The following is a 15,324-nucleotide window of genomic DNA, read 5'->3' as shown; positions in this document are numbered from 1 at the left end:
CGCGTGCCAATCACCAGCACCTGATGCGGGGCGACCAATGAGGAGCACGCCCTGCCGGGGCGCGGCGCTAGGGAGCCCGCCCCGGCCGCACGCCAATCACCAGCACGTGACAAGGGATGACCAATGAGGATCACGCCCTATGCTGCGGAGAGGCGCTGGTGAGCACGCCCCAGCTGCACGCCAATCACTAGCACGTGACGCCGGATGACCAATGAGGAGCACGGCCTGTGCCGGGGAGAGGCGCTGGTGAGCCAGCCCCGGCCGCACGCCAATCACGAGCACGTGATGAGGAGCGGCCTGTGGGCAGCCCCCGCCCCAACGTTCAGCCTCCAGACGCGCCATGTGGGCCCTGCGGGCCGCCGTACGCCCGGGGCTGCGGCTCTCCCGCGTGGGCCGCGGCCGCTCGGCTCCGCGGGCAGCCGCGCCGTCCTGCCCCGCGCGCGCGCTAGCCGCTGTCGGCCGCAGGAGCCCCGGGAATCTGGAGGGGCCGTGGGGCGGAGGGCGGGGCCTGCGGGCGGACGGCGGCCGAAGCCGCACGGGAGACGACGAGGAGGAGCCGGAAGATGCGGACGAGAACGCCGAGGAGGAGCTGCTGCGGGGAGAGCCTCTGCTGCCGGCGGGGACCCAGCGCGTGTGTCTGGTTCACCCTGACGTCAAGTGGGGCCCGGGGAAGTCGCAGATGACTCGAGGTGACCGCGGCAGGGCTTTCGGGGGAGAAACAGGAGCTGGAGACCTGGGGGCGGGGCTCTGAGGGGAGGGGGCTCATAGGTGGAGATTCAGGGGCGGGGCTCTGAAGGGACGATCTCATAGGTGGAGATTCAGGGGCGGGGTTCTGTGGGGAGAATCTCATAGGTGGAGGCGCAAGGGCGGGGCTCTGCAGGAAGGATTTCATAGGTGGAGATTCAGGGGCGGGACTCGGGAGAATCATAGCTGGCGATGCAAGGGCGGGGCTCTGGGGAGGCTCATAGGTAGAGATTCAGGGACGGGGCTCTGACCTGAGAATCTCATAGGTGGAGACCCAGGGCGGGGCTTTGAGGGGAAGAGCTCAGGTGGCGACGTAGGGGCGGGGCTTCAGGGGGCCAGGCTCTAAGGAGAGGGTCTGATGGTTGGAGATGCCAGGGCGTGGCGCTGAGGGGCGGGGCTCTGAGGGGAAGAGCTTATGGATGGTGATGCGGGGGCGGGGCTCTGAAGGGAGGATCTCATAGGTGGAGGTGCATGGGTGGGGTTCGGGGGAGGAGCCCATGGGTGAAAGGGCGGGGCTTATGGGGAAGAGGGGAGGATATCATTGGTGGAGGTGCGTGGGCGGGGCTTCGGGGGAGGGGCCTATGGGGTAAAAGTGCGGGGGCGGAGCTTATGGGGTGGAGTCCGTGGGATGGGGTGGGGCCCGTGGGGTCCGTGGGGTGGGGTGGGGTGGGGTGGGGTGGGGTGGGGTTGGGTGGGCCGGGGCGGTTCTCGCCGATGGGACCTACGTTTCTCTTGCTCTGGGTTAGAGGTAGGCACGGTGTGTTTGAGGTCAGGGAAGGGAGGGCGTCCAGCGGACCAATCTGTGTCTAGTCCCACCCCCCACCCCCCAGGAGGAAATGCAAATGAATAAGTCGCTGCACGTGTCAGAGTCTCATAAAGGTTGATTTTTCCCTTGGAAGCTCCTGTAGTCGATGAGTGGTTTTTCTTTACGGGTGTTTTCCAAAATGGCTAATTCCTGGAACAGATGAAGCCCCGAACTGCTCAGAACAGCGCGCAGACCTCTTGCCTCTCTACTCCCCAAACCTGCCGGTGGTTCCTCAGTAATCCCCTGAGCACCCGCAGCTCCCGGGTTCCCTGCTGCGCCCGCCTGGAGCCCAAATTCCATGTAAGGCAGGGTCGCCCTCGTGTCCCGCTGTGGCTCCGGTGTCCTTCTCCCGTCAGATTCCTACTTAGAGGCCCTGGGGGGACGAAGTCATATCGGGGGACAAACGGCGGCTCAAGGTGCCTTCTCCGGGGAGATTGTCTCAAGGGCAGGAGGAGGCCTCCCCGGGCAGGTGTGGACGGGGGCCCCGGGCAGAAGCGTCTCTCACGGTGGCCCTTGTGTCCCCGCAGCCGAGTGGCAGGTGGCGGAGGCCACAGCGCTGGTGCACACGCTGGACGGCTGGTCCGTGGTGCAGACAATGGTCGTGTCCACCAAAACGCCGGACAGGAAGCTCATCTTTGGCAAAGGGAACTTTGAGCACCTGACAGGTGGGTCCGTCCAGACCTGCTCCTTCCCCAAACCTCCTTTCCTGTCCGCCGCTACCGAAAACATCCAACCGAGACATGCTGAAGTACGGGGGTCTTGCGGGGCCAGAGGGGAAGCGGCCTCTCGGATTGCCCAGGTGAGCTGGGAGCACACGCCAGTAGGAGTCGGAGGACGGTGAGGCTTTATCTGTGTCGAGATTCACACCGGGCCCTGGAGAGACTTAAACTGGTAAAGATTAGGTCGGGGCAGTTTATAGAGTCCAACAAACAGGGTAGGCGGTGGACCGGCTGTAACCCCACCTGCCCCTGCAGGCCCCAGCCAAATCCTCCTCCTGGGTGACCCCCACCCCACCAGCAGTCTCTTAGGGTGGGGTCCAGCATGCGATCCTTGCGCTTCCCAGGTTTCTGACCATCCCGCTTCCAGTAGAGTTGGGAAGACGCTACTCACTTGCCCAGGTGGGGGTCGGCTGCCCTGGGTCACCTGCCCAGGTGGGGGTCAGCTTTCCTGCCTGACTCAGATGCATCTCACCCCTGCTGGGATGTGTTCACCCTGTGTGTGTGTGTGTGTGTGTGTGTCCCCAATGGGATGTGTCCACGGTGCATGTGTGTGTGTGTCTGTCCCTGTCGGGATGTATTTACTGTGTGTGTGTCTGTGTGTGTGTCTGCGTGTGTATGTGTTTGTGTCCCTGCTGGGATGTGTTTACTGTGTTTGTGTGTGTCTCTGTGTATGTGTCTGTGTGTGTGTCTGTCCCTGTCGGGATGTATTTACTGTGTGTGTGTGTGTGTGTGTCTGCGTGTGTATGTGTTTGTGTCCCTGCCGGGATGTGTTTACTGTGTTTGTGTGTGTCTCTGTGTATGTGTCTGTGTGTGTGTCTGTCCCTGTCGGGATGTATTTACTGTGTGTGTGTGTGTGTGTCTGCGTGTGTATGTGTTTGTGTCCCTGCCGGGATGTGTTTACTGTGTTTGTGTGTGTCTCTGTGTATGTGTCTGTGTGTGTGTCTGTCCCTGTCGGGATGTATTTACTGTGTGTGTGTGTGTGTGTCTGCATGTGTATGTGTTTGTGTCCCTGCCGGGATGTGTTTACTGTGTGTGTGTGTGTGTGTCTGCGTGTGTATGTGTTTGTGTCCCTGCTGGGATGTGTTTACTGTGTTTGTGTGTGTCTCTGTGTATGTGTCTGTGTGTGTGTCTGTCCCTGTCGGGATGTATTTACTGTGTGTGTGTGTGTGTGTGTATGTGTTTGTGTCCCTGCCGGGATGTGTTTACTGTGTTTGTGTGTGTCTCTGTGTGTCTGTCTGTGTGTCTGTGTCTGTCCCTGTCGGGATGTATTTACTGTGTGTGTGTGTGTGTGTGTGTGTGTGTGTGTCTGCGTGTGTATGTGTTTGTGTCCCTGCCGGGATGTGTTCACCGTATGCATGTCTATGTCTTTGAGACACACACTCCTAGAGACACACCCCCTCCCACGCTGACTTCCTGGATCCCGGGTCTCGTGCTCAGGAAGTCGGGGATGCCTGTGAAGTGAGCTCTCCGCGGTGCATCCCACAAAGGGTATGGTGGGCTCATCCCACAGTCCACGGGTGTGGACGGCCAGCCTCTGACGGGACCCCCTCTTTCTGTTAGAAAAGATCCGAGGGTCTCCAGACATCACGTGCGTCTTCCTGAACGTGGAGAGGATGGCTGCCCCGACCAAGGTACCACAGGATGTGGCTTGCTGTGTTTGTCCCCGCACTCCACGCGATGAAGGAGGGGACGCCACGGCGTCCGGCCAGGCGGGGGACAGATGGGGACAGATGGGGACACGGTGGGGTTAAGGCATTAGAGACGTCCTCCTTCCTCTCACATTGGCCACCAGGGCCCGGCCTTCCCCCGTGGCTTCTCAGTTGCTCTCTCCTTTTGCAGAAAGAACTGGAAGCCGCCTGGGGCGTGGAGGTGTTTGACCGCTTCACGGTCGTCCTGCACATCTTCCGCTGTAACGCCCGCACGAAGGAGGCCCGGCTTCAGGTGGCCCTGGCGGAGATGCCGCTGCACAGGTATCGTGGGGCCCCTGGGCCGCGCCGAGCGTCACGTCCACTCCCGGAACCCCTCCGTTCTGTAGTCACCTGTAGGGCGTTCTGGGGGTGCGTGAGGAAGAAAAGCACCATGGGGGCCGGGCGCGGTGGCTCACGCCTGTCATCCCAGCACTTTGGGAGGCCGAGGTGGGCGGATCACGAGGTCACGAGATCGAGACCATCCTGGCCAACACGGTGAAACCCCGTCTGTACTAAAAATACAAGAAAAAAATTAGCCGGGCGTGGTGGCGGGCGCCTGAAATCCCAGCTACTCAGGAGGCTGAGGCAGGAGAATGGCGTGAACCCCAGAGGTGGAGCTTGCAGTGAGCCGAGATCACGCCACTGCACTCCAGCCTGGGTGACAGAGCGAGACTCCGTCTAAAAAAAAAAAAAAAGAAGAAAAGCACCGTGTGGGCTCTCTCTCCGGGGCCCGTTGCCCCCACTGCCTGCCCCCGGCTCCCCACTAGGCAGGTCCCCTCGGCCCGGGACACGCGTCACTCACAGTGTGTGAGCTACACGCGGAGCGGGGCCGCAACAGCGGCTCCTCCCTTCGGCCCAGAGGCCCAGCTCAGTGCCCCCTTCACCTTCACCTCGACCTCTGCCGGGAGGGAGACAGCGTCCGCAGAGACCGAGCCACTCCCGTTCCCACACCAGGTCGAACTTGAAAAGGGACGTCGCCCACCTGTACCGAGGAGTCGGCTCGCGCTACATCATGGGGTCAGGTAACTCGGGCCGGGCGCGGCGTCCCAGAGGGTCCTCGGAATGCGGTTGTCAGCGGCAGCCACCCTTCTCAGCCCTGGAAGATTCCAACAGGGTGGGGTCCAGCTGGGGTCTCCGTCTCCTGGTAGCATTTGAGGACATAGGAGACCCTCAGCCCTGGAAGATTCCAACAGGGTGGGGGCTGGCTGGGGGCTCCGTCTGGTAGCATTTGAGGAGATAGGAGATGCTGGTGGTTTTTGGAGGTTTTGCCTAAATCAGTAGCCACAAACTGGGGATTTAAACAGCAGAGATCTATGCTCTCCCCTCCTGGACACCAAAACTCTGAGATCAAGGTGAGGACAGGGCTGCGCTCCCTCCAGGGGCTCCTTCTGCCTCTCCCAGCTCCTGGGGGCTCCAGGCATCCCTGGGTTTGTGGCCGCGTCACTCCAGTCTCTGCCTCCGTCTCCACGTGGCCTCCTCCTCTGTGTCTGTGTCTCCTCTTCTGTCTCTTACAAGGACACATGTCATTGCATTTATGGCCCGCCCTAATCCAGAATCGTCGCATCTCTAGATACTTCAGTTATGACAAACACCTTATTTTCAAATAAGGTCCCATTGACCAGTTCTGGGAATTAGGATGTGGACAGATCTTTTAGGAGGACCACAGTTCAATCCGCTACACTTGTATCCACTTCCCTCTGGAGGCTCTAGGGCAGGGTCCTTCCTGCCTCTCCCAGCTCCTGGGGGCTCCAGGCGTCCCAGGCTTGTGGCCTCGTCACTCCGGTCTCTGCTTCTTAGAAGGACACAGGTCGTTGCCTTAGGGCCCACCCTAACCTAGGGTGATATTTTGAGACCCTACAAAGACCATATTTCCAAATCAGGTCCCATTCCCAGGTTCTGGGACTTCGGATGTGAAAGGGGCCCCACTGAGCCCGCTCACGATGACGTCCTGGGCCGTGTCCCGCTCGGAGGCCTCCGTAGTGATCTGGCCTTTACTTTCTCCCCGAGTCACGGGAAGCCCTCGTTGACCTCACAGGGTGGACACCCGGAGGCGAGATCCCGTTCCGCCGAGCAGAGCCCTTTCTCATGGAACAGGACGTGTCGGGGCCGCTGCTGGGGAAAGCAGCCGGGCCCCCAGATGCTGGAGCGGGAGCAGGCCCCGGGCCCCCGCAGACCCTCCGCGGCACCGCCCGCACTTGTGCCTTTCCCGGCGTGGCTCACCGCCTCACCATCTCGGGTGTCTTTTAGGAGAATCCTTCATGCAGCTGCAGCAGCGTCTCCTGAGAGAGAAGGAGGCCAAGATCAGGAAGGCCTTGGACAGGCTTCGCAAGAAGAGGCACCTGCTCCGCCGGCAGCGGACGAGGCGGGAGTTCCCCGTGATCTCCGTGGTGGGGTACACCAACTGCGGTGAGCACGCGCCCAGGGGAGGGGCCTTCCGCGGTCTCCGTGTCACCGGTGAGGACTCGCCCGGGGGAGGGCAGGGGGTCCCTGTCGTCTCAGTGGTGCCGTACGACAGCTGCGGTGAGCACGTGCCCAGGAGAGGGGGTTCCCATGGTCGCCGTGTGGGGTACACCAGCTGCTGTGAGAGCTCACCCAGGAGACGGGTTTCCTGTGGTCTCTGTGTGGGGTACAGCAGCCAAGGTGAGGATGTCATCTACCCCATCCTCCCATCCAGAGCTTTACCACCCTGTCTATACCACAATCTCCCCTCCATCTACACCATCCTCCTGTCTAGACCATCCCCACTGCCCTATCTATACCACCACCCTGTCTACACAATCCACCCATCTACACCATCACCTCTCCTCTGTCTATACCATCCTCCTGTCTACACCAGCACCACTACCCCATCTATACCACCACCCCGTCTACATAATCCACCCGTGTACACCACAATGTTCCCTTTGTCTGCACCGTCCTCCTGTCTACACTGGCACCACTGCCCCAGCTATACCACCACCCCGTCTACATAATCCACCCGTGTACACCACAATGTCCCCTTCGTCTGCACCGTCCTCCTGTCTACACTGGCACCACTGCCCCATCTATACCACCACCCGTCTATACAATCCACCCATCTGTCTACACCATCGCCTCTCCTCTGTCTACACCATCCTTCTGTCAACACCGGCACCACTGCCGTATCTATATCCACCCATCTACACCATCACCTCCCCTGTGTCTACACCATCCTCCCATCCACACCAGCACCACCACCCCACCTACACCATCCCACCATCTACGCCATTGCCAAATCTACACAGACGACCTCACTCCCATCCACGCCTTCACACGCACACCCGTCCACACCACCATCTCCCCCGTGTCCGCACGGCGGCCCCGCTCCATCGGCCCGAGAACAGCGACGGTGGCTTTGTCCCACGCGTCGGGTCTGGCCCGGGGTGCCCGAGGAGCTCAGGGACCGTGTAGCCCGGGGTGCGGCCCCCCAGAGGGTGCCGTGGTCTCCATTTGGAGGGCCTGGCTGCGGCGCTAGGAGTTGGGACGCAGGGATCTCTGCAGCGCCCTGACCTCCACGCCCTCCTAGGAAAGACCACGCTGATCAAGGCACTGACGGGCGATGCCGCCATCCAGCCACGGGACCAGCTGTTTGCCACGCTGGACGTCACGGCCCACGCGGGCACGCTGCCCTCACGCATGACCGTCCTGTACGTGGACACCATCGGCTTCCTCTCCCAGCTGCCGCACGGCCTCATCGAGTCCTTCTCCGCCACCCTGGAAGACGTGGCCCACTCGGTGAGCGTGGGACGGCCGGGGATCGGGTGCTCGGACACCCATTCGGCACGGGGGCTGGGCACTCAGACACACACAGCCAGGGGTCGGGCCCTCGGACACCCACTCAGCCCAGGGGCCGGGCCCTCGGACACCCACTCAGCCCAGGGGCCAGGCCCTCGGACACCCACTGGGCACGGGGACCAGGCACTCAGACACACACAAAGCCAGGGGCCGGGCCCTCAGACACCCACCCAACTCGGGGCCGGAACAACAACTGCCTCCTGGGGCTCAGACTTAGTGTCCCCCAAGCCTCCCACGTCCCCGGGCGAGAGGCTGAGCGGTTGCCCCAGCCTCACCGACACTCAGGGCCATGTTCTTGCCGCCGTGAGCCCGTGTAGAAATAGGAAGTCGGCCGTCAGTCCTCTCCCGGCTTATGTGCCTGAACACATAAGCGTGTTCCCGGGTGCACCTGCTCCACGTCACAGACCCCTGACAGACAGAGTGACCGTTCGTGTCACAGACGTGCGGGCAGTGGCGGACACAGCACGGTGATGCCTGAGGATCGATGAACACCGAGACCCTGGAAACACCTGTGGGGTCCTGAGGCTGTCACTGCAAAAGGGGCCACAAATGGGGGCCAGAAACCACAGGAACCAGCTCTACCACAGTTCCAGAAAGCGGGAGCTGACCACAGACTCTAGGGGAGGGTCCTTCCTGCCTCTCCCAGCTCCTGGGGGCTCCAGGCGTCCCTGGGCTTGAGGCCGCATCACTCCAGTCTCTGCCTCTGTCTGTGGCCTTCTCCTCTGTGTCTGTGTCTCCTCTTCTGTCTCTTAGAAGGACAGTAGTCATTAGATTTAGGGTCCACCCTAATCCAGGATGATCTCATTTCAGATCTTCCACTTAATCACATCTGCAGAGACCCTGTTTCCAAATAATGTCCCATTCACAGGTTCCAGATGATCAATACATGGACAGGTCTTTTGTGGGGGGCCACAGTTCAGTTCACTTCAGTTGGATCCAGTTCCTTCTGGAGGCTCTAGGGGAGGGTCCTTCCTGCCTCTCCCAGCTCCTGGGGGCTCCAGGCGTCCCTGGGCTTGTGGCCGCATCACTCCAGTCTCTGCCTCTGTCTGTGGCCTCCTCCTCTGTGTCTGTGTCTCCTCTTCTGTCTCTTAGAAGGACACCTGTCATTAGATTTAGGGTCCACCCTAATCCAGGATGATCTCATCTCCAGATCTTCCACTTAATCACATCTGCAGAGACCCTGTTTCCAAATAATGTCCCATTCACAGGTTCCAGATGATCAATACATGGACAGGTCTTTTGTGGGGGGCCACAGTTCAGTTCACTTCAGTTGGATCCAGTTCCTTCTGGAGGCTCTAGGGGAGGGTCCTTCCTGCCTCTCCCAGCTCCTGGGGGCTCCAGGCGTCCCTGGGCTTGTGGCCGCATCACTCCAGTCTCTGCCTCTGTCTGTGGCCTTCTTCTCTGTGTCTGTGTCTCCTCTTCTGTCTCTTAGAAGGACAGTAGTCATTAGATTTAGGGTCCACCCTAATCCAGGATGATCTCATTTCAGATCTTCCACTTAATCACATCTGCAGAGACCCTGTTTCCAAATAATGTCCCATTCACAGGTTCCAGATGATCAATACATGGACAGGTCTTTTGTGGGGGGCCACAGTTCAGTTCACTTCAGTTGGATCCAGTTCCTTCTGGAGGCTCTAGGTGAGGGTCCTTCCTGCCTCTCCCAGCTCCTGGGGGCTCCAGGCGTCCCTGGGCTTGTGGCCGCACCACTCCAGTCTCTGCCTCCATCTCCACGTGGCCTTCTCTGTGTCTGTGTCTCCTAGGACACCTGTCATTGCATTTAGGGGCCACCTAGATAAATCCAGGGTAACCTCATCTTAACTACATCTGCAAAAACTCCATTTCCAAGCAAGGTCCCCTTCTCTTCTGTGTCTGCCCCACATCTCTTTCTTTCTGTCGTAAACATACCGGTCGGTCGTTGGATTTAAGGCCCACTCTGCTCCACCCTGACCTCATCTTCACCAGCTGCATCCGCAGAGATCTTAATTCTGGGTAGGGTCCCATTCTGAGGCTGCTGGTGGATGTGGATTTGGGGGCGGGGTGCTGTTTGGCTCCGGAACTGCCCCCGGCCGTAGGGTGCTGAGTGAGCTGCACACTCCATCCGTACCGTAGACTTTCCAAGTGCATGAAGAGCACGGGGAAATATTGTCAAGCAACAAGGCAGGAAAACAAGGTGTGAGATTGTCACATTCAGGCTACGGCTTTGTTTTTTGCCCTGAGGGAGAAGCAGCAAATGTCCCAAAGAACGGACGCGGCTGCCACCTCCTTGAGGAGATGGGACTGAACCCCGCCCGGAGCCTGGACTCCGCTTTCGACTCCTCCCGACAATAAATTATGGACCGGGTGTGGTGGCTCACGCCTGCAATCCCAGCACTTTGGGAGGTTGAGGCGGGTGGATCACTTCAGGTCAGGAGATCGAGACCACGGCGAAATCCCGTCTCTACTAAAAATATAAAAAATTAGCCAGGCATGGTGGCGGGTGCCTGTAGTCCCAGCTACTCAAGAGAGGCTGAGGCAGGAGAATGGCTGAACCCGGGAGGCGGAGCTTGCAGTGAGCTGAGATCGCGCCACTGCACTCCAGCCTGTGTGACAGAGCGAGACTCGTCTCAAAAAAAAAAAAAAAAAAAAAGTAAAACTTTCCTGGGATGAAATTATTTTTTTTGTTTTTACTTTTCTTCTTTAGAGACAGGGTCTCGCTCTGTCACCCAGACTGAACCGCAGTGGTATGATCTCGGCTCACTGCAGCCTCGACCTCCTGGGCTCAAGTGATCCTCCCACCTCAGCCTCCTGAGTAGCTGAGACCACAGACACGCACAACCAGGCCATGGCTAATTTTTGTACTTTCTGTAGAAACGGCCTCACTCTCTTGCCCAGGCTGGTCTCAAACTTCTGGGCTCAAGCCACCTCCCAAAGTGCCTCAGTTACAGGAAAAATATTATTTGTATTAAGTGCATCCAAACAAACAAAAAGTAGACGTGGATACCCCGGTAGTATAAGTTGGAGAATTACACACGGCTTTATTTTTTTTTCCCTGTGTTTTTCAAATTTTGTGTAAGGAGCCTGCCTGTAAGATTTTTTTTGAACGTGAGAAAAAAAGCATCCTTTAAAGAGGAAATAATTCCGCTGTTAAAAGACATTTCACAGGAGGATGAAGCCGCCCTAAAGCTTTGAATGAAGACCCCCTGGGTGGGTGGGTGGTGGTTGGGTGCTCATATATGGCACCCCCTTGCGTGTGGGTCTGGGGGTGCGGAGCTGCTGCCTGTGGCTTGGAAGGTTGGGTAAGTGCAGCCGGGTGGGCTCGCGTCCACTGTTGGTCTAGGAGCCCCCGTCCTGGGGTGTCCGAGGGGCCTGCACACAGGCGTACCTCCCATGCCCAGCCTGTCGTTGGGAGCTCGTGTGAGCCCCTCTCCTGGGCCTGTCTGCAAGCTTGGGGTCAGGGACCAGAGGCTCCGCAGCTCTGACCCCACGGCCCGGCCCACAGGATCTCATCTTGCACGTGAGGGACGTCAGCCACCCCGAGGCGGAGCTCCAGAAATGCAGCGTTCTGTCCACGCTGCGTGGCCTGCAGCTGCCCGCCCCGCTCCTGGACTCCATGGTGGAGGTTCACAACAAGGTGGACCTCGTGCCCGGGTGAGTCCGGCCCTGGGGTCCGCAAGCGTCTCCTTCCCCTGCACGCGCTGGAGCCGGGTGGGGAGATGCCCCGTCTCCTCGTGTGAACCGCAGCGGTGGCAGTCAGGACACAGGGAGTGGCCCCAGACTGTGCCCCGTGGGCAGTGGACTCCTGGGGACCCTGATTTCGTCCGGCCGCCCCGACGCTGAGCGGGGCCTGTGACATCCCCACCCTTGCAGGTACAGCCCCACGGAACCGAACGTCGTGCCCGTGTCTGCCCTGCGGGGCCACGGGCTCCAGGAGCTGAAAGCTGAGCTCGATGCGGCGGTTTTGAAGGCGACGGGGAGACAGATCCTCACTCTCCGTGTGAGGCTCGCAGGGGCGCAGCTCAGGTGAGCGGCCTGCAGGGGCAGGAGACGGGATGGTGCTTTGGATGCCTGTCTCTGGCTCTGAAACGGGCTCTTCGTGGGTGCACAAGGAGCTGTGAGATCCCCGAGAGCTTTAGGATGTACAGACGAGATGAATGGGTTTGCATCAAATGTACATTTGTGACTGTGCATACAAGAGGTGCCTAATCTGCGCTTGAGAGTCAAAATCTACATTTGTGACTGTGCATACAACAGGTGCCTAATCTGTGCTGACAGTCAAAATGTACATTTCTGACTGCATACAACGGGTGCCTAATCTGTGCTTGACAGTAAAAATACATTTCTGACTGCATACAACAGTTGCCTAATCTGTGCTTGACAGTCAAAATGTACATTTCTGACTGCATACAACAGGTGCCTAATCTGTGCTGACAGTCAAAATGTACATTTCTGACTGCATACAACAGGTGCCTAATCTGTGCTGACAGTCAAAATGTACATTTCTGACTGCATACAACAGGTGCCTAATCTGTGCTGACACTCAAAATATACATTTCTGACTGTGGATACAACAGGTGCCTAATTATGCTGACAGTGAAAATGTACATTTCTGACCATACAACAGGTGCCTAATCTGTGCTTGACAGCCAAAATGTACATTTCTGTGCATACAACAGGTGCCTAATCTGCACTGACAGTCAAAATGTACATTTCTGACTGCATACAACAGGTGCCTAATCTGTGCTGACAGTCAAAATGTACATTTCTGACTGCATACAACAGGTGCCTAATCTGTGCTTGACAGTAAAAATACATTTCTGACTGCATACAACAGTTGCCTAATCTGTGCTGACAAAATGTACATTTCTGACTGTGCATACAACAGGTGCCTAATGTGTGCTGACACTCAATGTACATTTCTGACTGTGGATACAACAGGTGCCTAATTATGCTGACAGTGAAAATGTACATTTCTGACCATACAACAGGTGCCTAATCTGTGCTTGACAGCCAAAATGTACATTTCTGTGCATACAACAGGTGCCTAATCTGCACTGACAGTCAAAATGTACATTTCTGACTGTGCATACAACAGGTGCCTAATCTGTGCTGACAGTCAAAATGTACATTTCTGACTGCATACAACAGGTGCCTAATCTGCGCTTGACAGTCAAAATGTACATTTCTGACTGCATACAACAGGTGCCTAATCTGCACTTGACAGTCAAAATACATTTCTGACTGTGCGCACAACAGGTGCCTAATCTGTGCTGCCAGTCAAGGGGTACAGGTCTCCCTACCAATAAGAAAGCAAGCTCCAGCTGGATGCCGTGGCACAGGCCTGTAACCCCAAGACTTTGGGAGGCCGAGGCAGGAGGATTGCTTGAGCTGAGAGGAGTTTGAGGCCAGGCTGGGCAACATGGTGAGACCCCATCTCTACAAAGAATAAAAAGTTACCACCCCAGGTGGGGTGGCTCACACCTGTAATCCCAACACGTTGGGAGGCCGAGGTGGGCGGACCACAAGGTCAGGAGATCGAGACCAGCCTGGCTAACACGGTGAAACCCCGTCTCTAATAAAAATACAAAAAATTAGCCGGGCGCAGTGGCGGGCACCTGTAGTCCCAGCTACTCGGGAGGCTAAGGCCGGAGAATTGCTGGAACCCAGGAGGCCGAGGTTGCAGTGAGCCAAGATCGTGCCACTGCACCCCAGCCTGGCGACAGAGCGAGACTCTGTCTCAAAAAAAAAAATAAAAAATAAAAAGCCGGGCGCAGTGGCTCATGCCTGTCATCCCAGCACTTTGGGAGGCCGAGGCGGGTGGATCACGAAGTCAGGAGATCGAGACCATCCTGGCTAACACGGTGAAACCCCGTCTCTACTAAAAACACAAAAAATTAGCCAGGTGTGGTGGCATGCACCTGTAGTCCCAGCTACTCGGGAGGCTGAGGCAGGAGAATCACTTGAACCCGGGAGGTGGAGCTTGCAGTGAGCTGAGATCGCGCCACTGCACTCCAGCCTACGCGACAGAGTGAGACTCCGTCTCAAAAAAAAAAAAAAACAAAAGGAAACAGGACGGTCTGATGAATGGTTTGAGCTAAGCTCTTTTTAGCGTAATTATTTATCATGAAACTAAGCAAATACTTACGGGTTCTGCTTGTCTCCATACAACGCGCATCTGTGCCCAGCTGGCTGTATAAGGAGGCCACAGTTCAGGAGGTGGACGTGATCCCTGAGGACGGGGCGGCCGACGTGAGGGTCATCATCAGCAACTCAGCCTACGGCAAATTCCGGAAGCTCTTTCCAGGATGAACGGACGCCCACAGAGGCCTGCGGGGTGGGGGCATCGCTGCCTGGGGAGCTGAGGCGTTACCGCTGTGTTGGGGGCAGCTTGGTGTCAGGTGCAGCAGGGTCCTCCTTGTCTGGTTCTGCACCCGTCTCGCTCCCAGCCATTTGCTGGGATGACCGTGCAGGCCGGTGACACGGCCGCACCTGCCCCAAAGCGGGCCGCCCGAGCGTCCACTCCAAGCCTGAGCATCCACACAATTCCAGTGGGCCCTCGGTGCCTGCTGTGAACTGCTTTCCCTCGGAATGTTTCCGTAACAGGACATTAAACCTTTGATTTTACTTCCGTGAGCAGCATTTCCAGTTCCTCCTGCACCTGCCGTGAGCCGTGGCCCTGGTGGGCACCGACGGCCCCTCCGCCCGGCTGTCTGTGTTCACAGATGGTCTCGTTTCCCATGGTGGTGTCGGGGAAATGACGAAAAATCAGGTTTCCCGGCAGCACAGAGAACCCTTCCACAAAAGTAGAAGGGAAAGCAAATAGTTTTACTAAAGAAGCAGCTTCAAACCAGACCGTGAGGACGGGCACGGTGGCTCACGCCTGTAATCCCAGCACTTTGAGAGGCTGAGGTGGGTGGATCACGAGGTCAGGAGATCCAGACCATCCTGGCTAACATGGTGAAACCCCACCTCTGCTAAAAATACAAAAAATTAGCCGGGGGTGGTGGCGGGCGCCTGTAGTCCCAGCTACTCGGGAGGCTGAGGCAGGAGGATGGCATGAACCCGGGAGGCGGAGGTTGCAGTGAGCCAAGATCGCGCCACTGCACTCCAGCCTGGAAGACAGAGCGAGACTCCGTCTCAAAACAAACAAACCAGACGGTGATGTGTCACAGACCATCCACTAAGAGATGCAGAGAGAGAATTTCACCTGCGTGTGGCCAGGCTGTGCAGCCGTTACACGCACATTAGCCGTCTCCATCAACGGGAAAACAAAATGCCTTGTATGTTTTGAGACAGAATCTCGCTCTGTCACCCAGGCTGGAGTACAGTGGTGCGATCTCAGTTCACTGCAACCTCTGCCTCTTGAGTTCAGACAGTTCTCCTGCCTCAACCTCCCAAGTAGCTGGGATTACAGGCGCCCGCCACCACGCCCGGCTAATTTTTTGCATTTTTAGTAGAGATGGGTTTTCAGCATGTCGGTCAGGCTGGTCTCAAACTCCTGACCTCAGGTGATCCACCCAACTCGGCCTCCCAAAGTGCTGGGATTACAGGCGGAGCCACTGTGCCCGGCCTGAATTAA

At 57.7% G+C, this 15,324-nt stretch overlaps 1 protein-coding gene across 5 annotated transcripts; it reads left to right on the top strand.

The window, feature by feature from the left end:
- GTPBP6 (GTP binding protein 6 (putative)) lies at positions 332–14,369 on the top strand. 5 transcript variants are annotated; one of them, XM_047442545.1, is made up of 11 exons: positions 332–689; positions 1,709–1,849; positions 2,077–2,214; positions 3,829–3,899; positions 4,108–4,238; positions 4,911–4,978; positions 6,204–6,596; positions 7,501–7,709; positions 11,248–11,396; positions 11,616–11,768; positions 13,931–14,369. In XM_047442545.1, the coding sequence occupies exons 3-11, from the start codon at positions 2,145–2,147 to the stop codon at positions 14,052–14,054; spliced, it is 1,368 nt and encodes a 455-aa protein (XP_047298501.1). In that variant the 5' UTR covers positions 332–689; positions 1,709–1,849; positions 2,077–2,144; the 3' UTR covers positions 14,055–14,369. The 5 variants fall into 5 exon arrangements, with proteins under 5 accessions (XP_047298501.1, XP_047298500.1, NP_036359.3 ...); XM_047442544.1 differs by having other exon boundaries at positions 1,644–1,849; NM_012227.4 differs by lacking the exon at positions 1,709–1,849 and having other exon boundaries at positions 6,204–6,362.

Source organism: Homo sapiens, chromosome X (assembly GCF_000001405.40).
Source record: "Homo sapiens chromosome X, GRCh38.p14 Primary Assembly".
Classification (NCBI taxonomy): domain Eukaryota; kingdom Metazoa; phylum Chordata; class Mammalia; order Primates; family Hominidae; genus Homo; species Homo sapiens.
Note: the sequence above shows the minus strand (reverse complement) of the source record. Positions and strands in the feature narration are given on the sequence as shown.

What these genes read in the sequence shown, in the direction of transcription:
- GTPBP6 (XM_047442543.1), top strand. Translation starts at nt 341, where the DNA reads ATGTGGGCCCTGCGGGCCGCCGTACGCCCGGGGCTGCGGCTCTCCCGC. An exon ending in GAACTTTGAGCACCTGACAG is followed by an intron (nt 2,215 to 3,828) that starts GTGGGTCCGTCC and finishes TCTTTCTGTTAG; the next exon opens with AAAAGATCCGAGGGTCTCCA. An exon ending in GCGGAGATGCCGCTGCACAG is followed by an intron (nt 4,239 to 4,910) that starts GTATCGTGGGGC and finishes TTCCCACACCAG; the next exon opens with GTCGAACTTGAAAAGGGACG.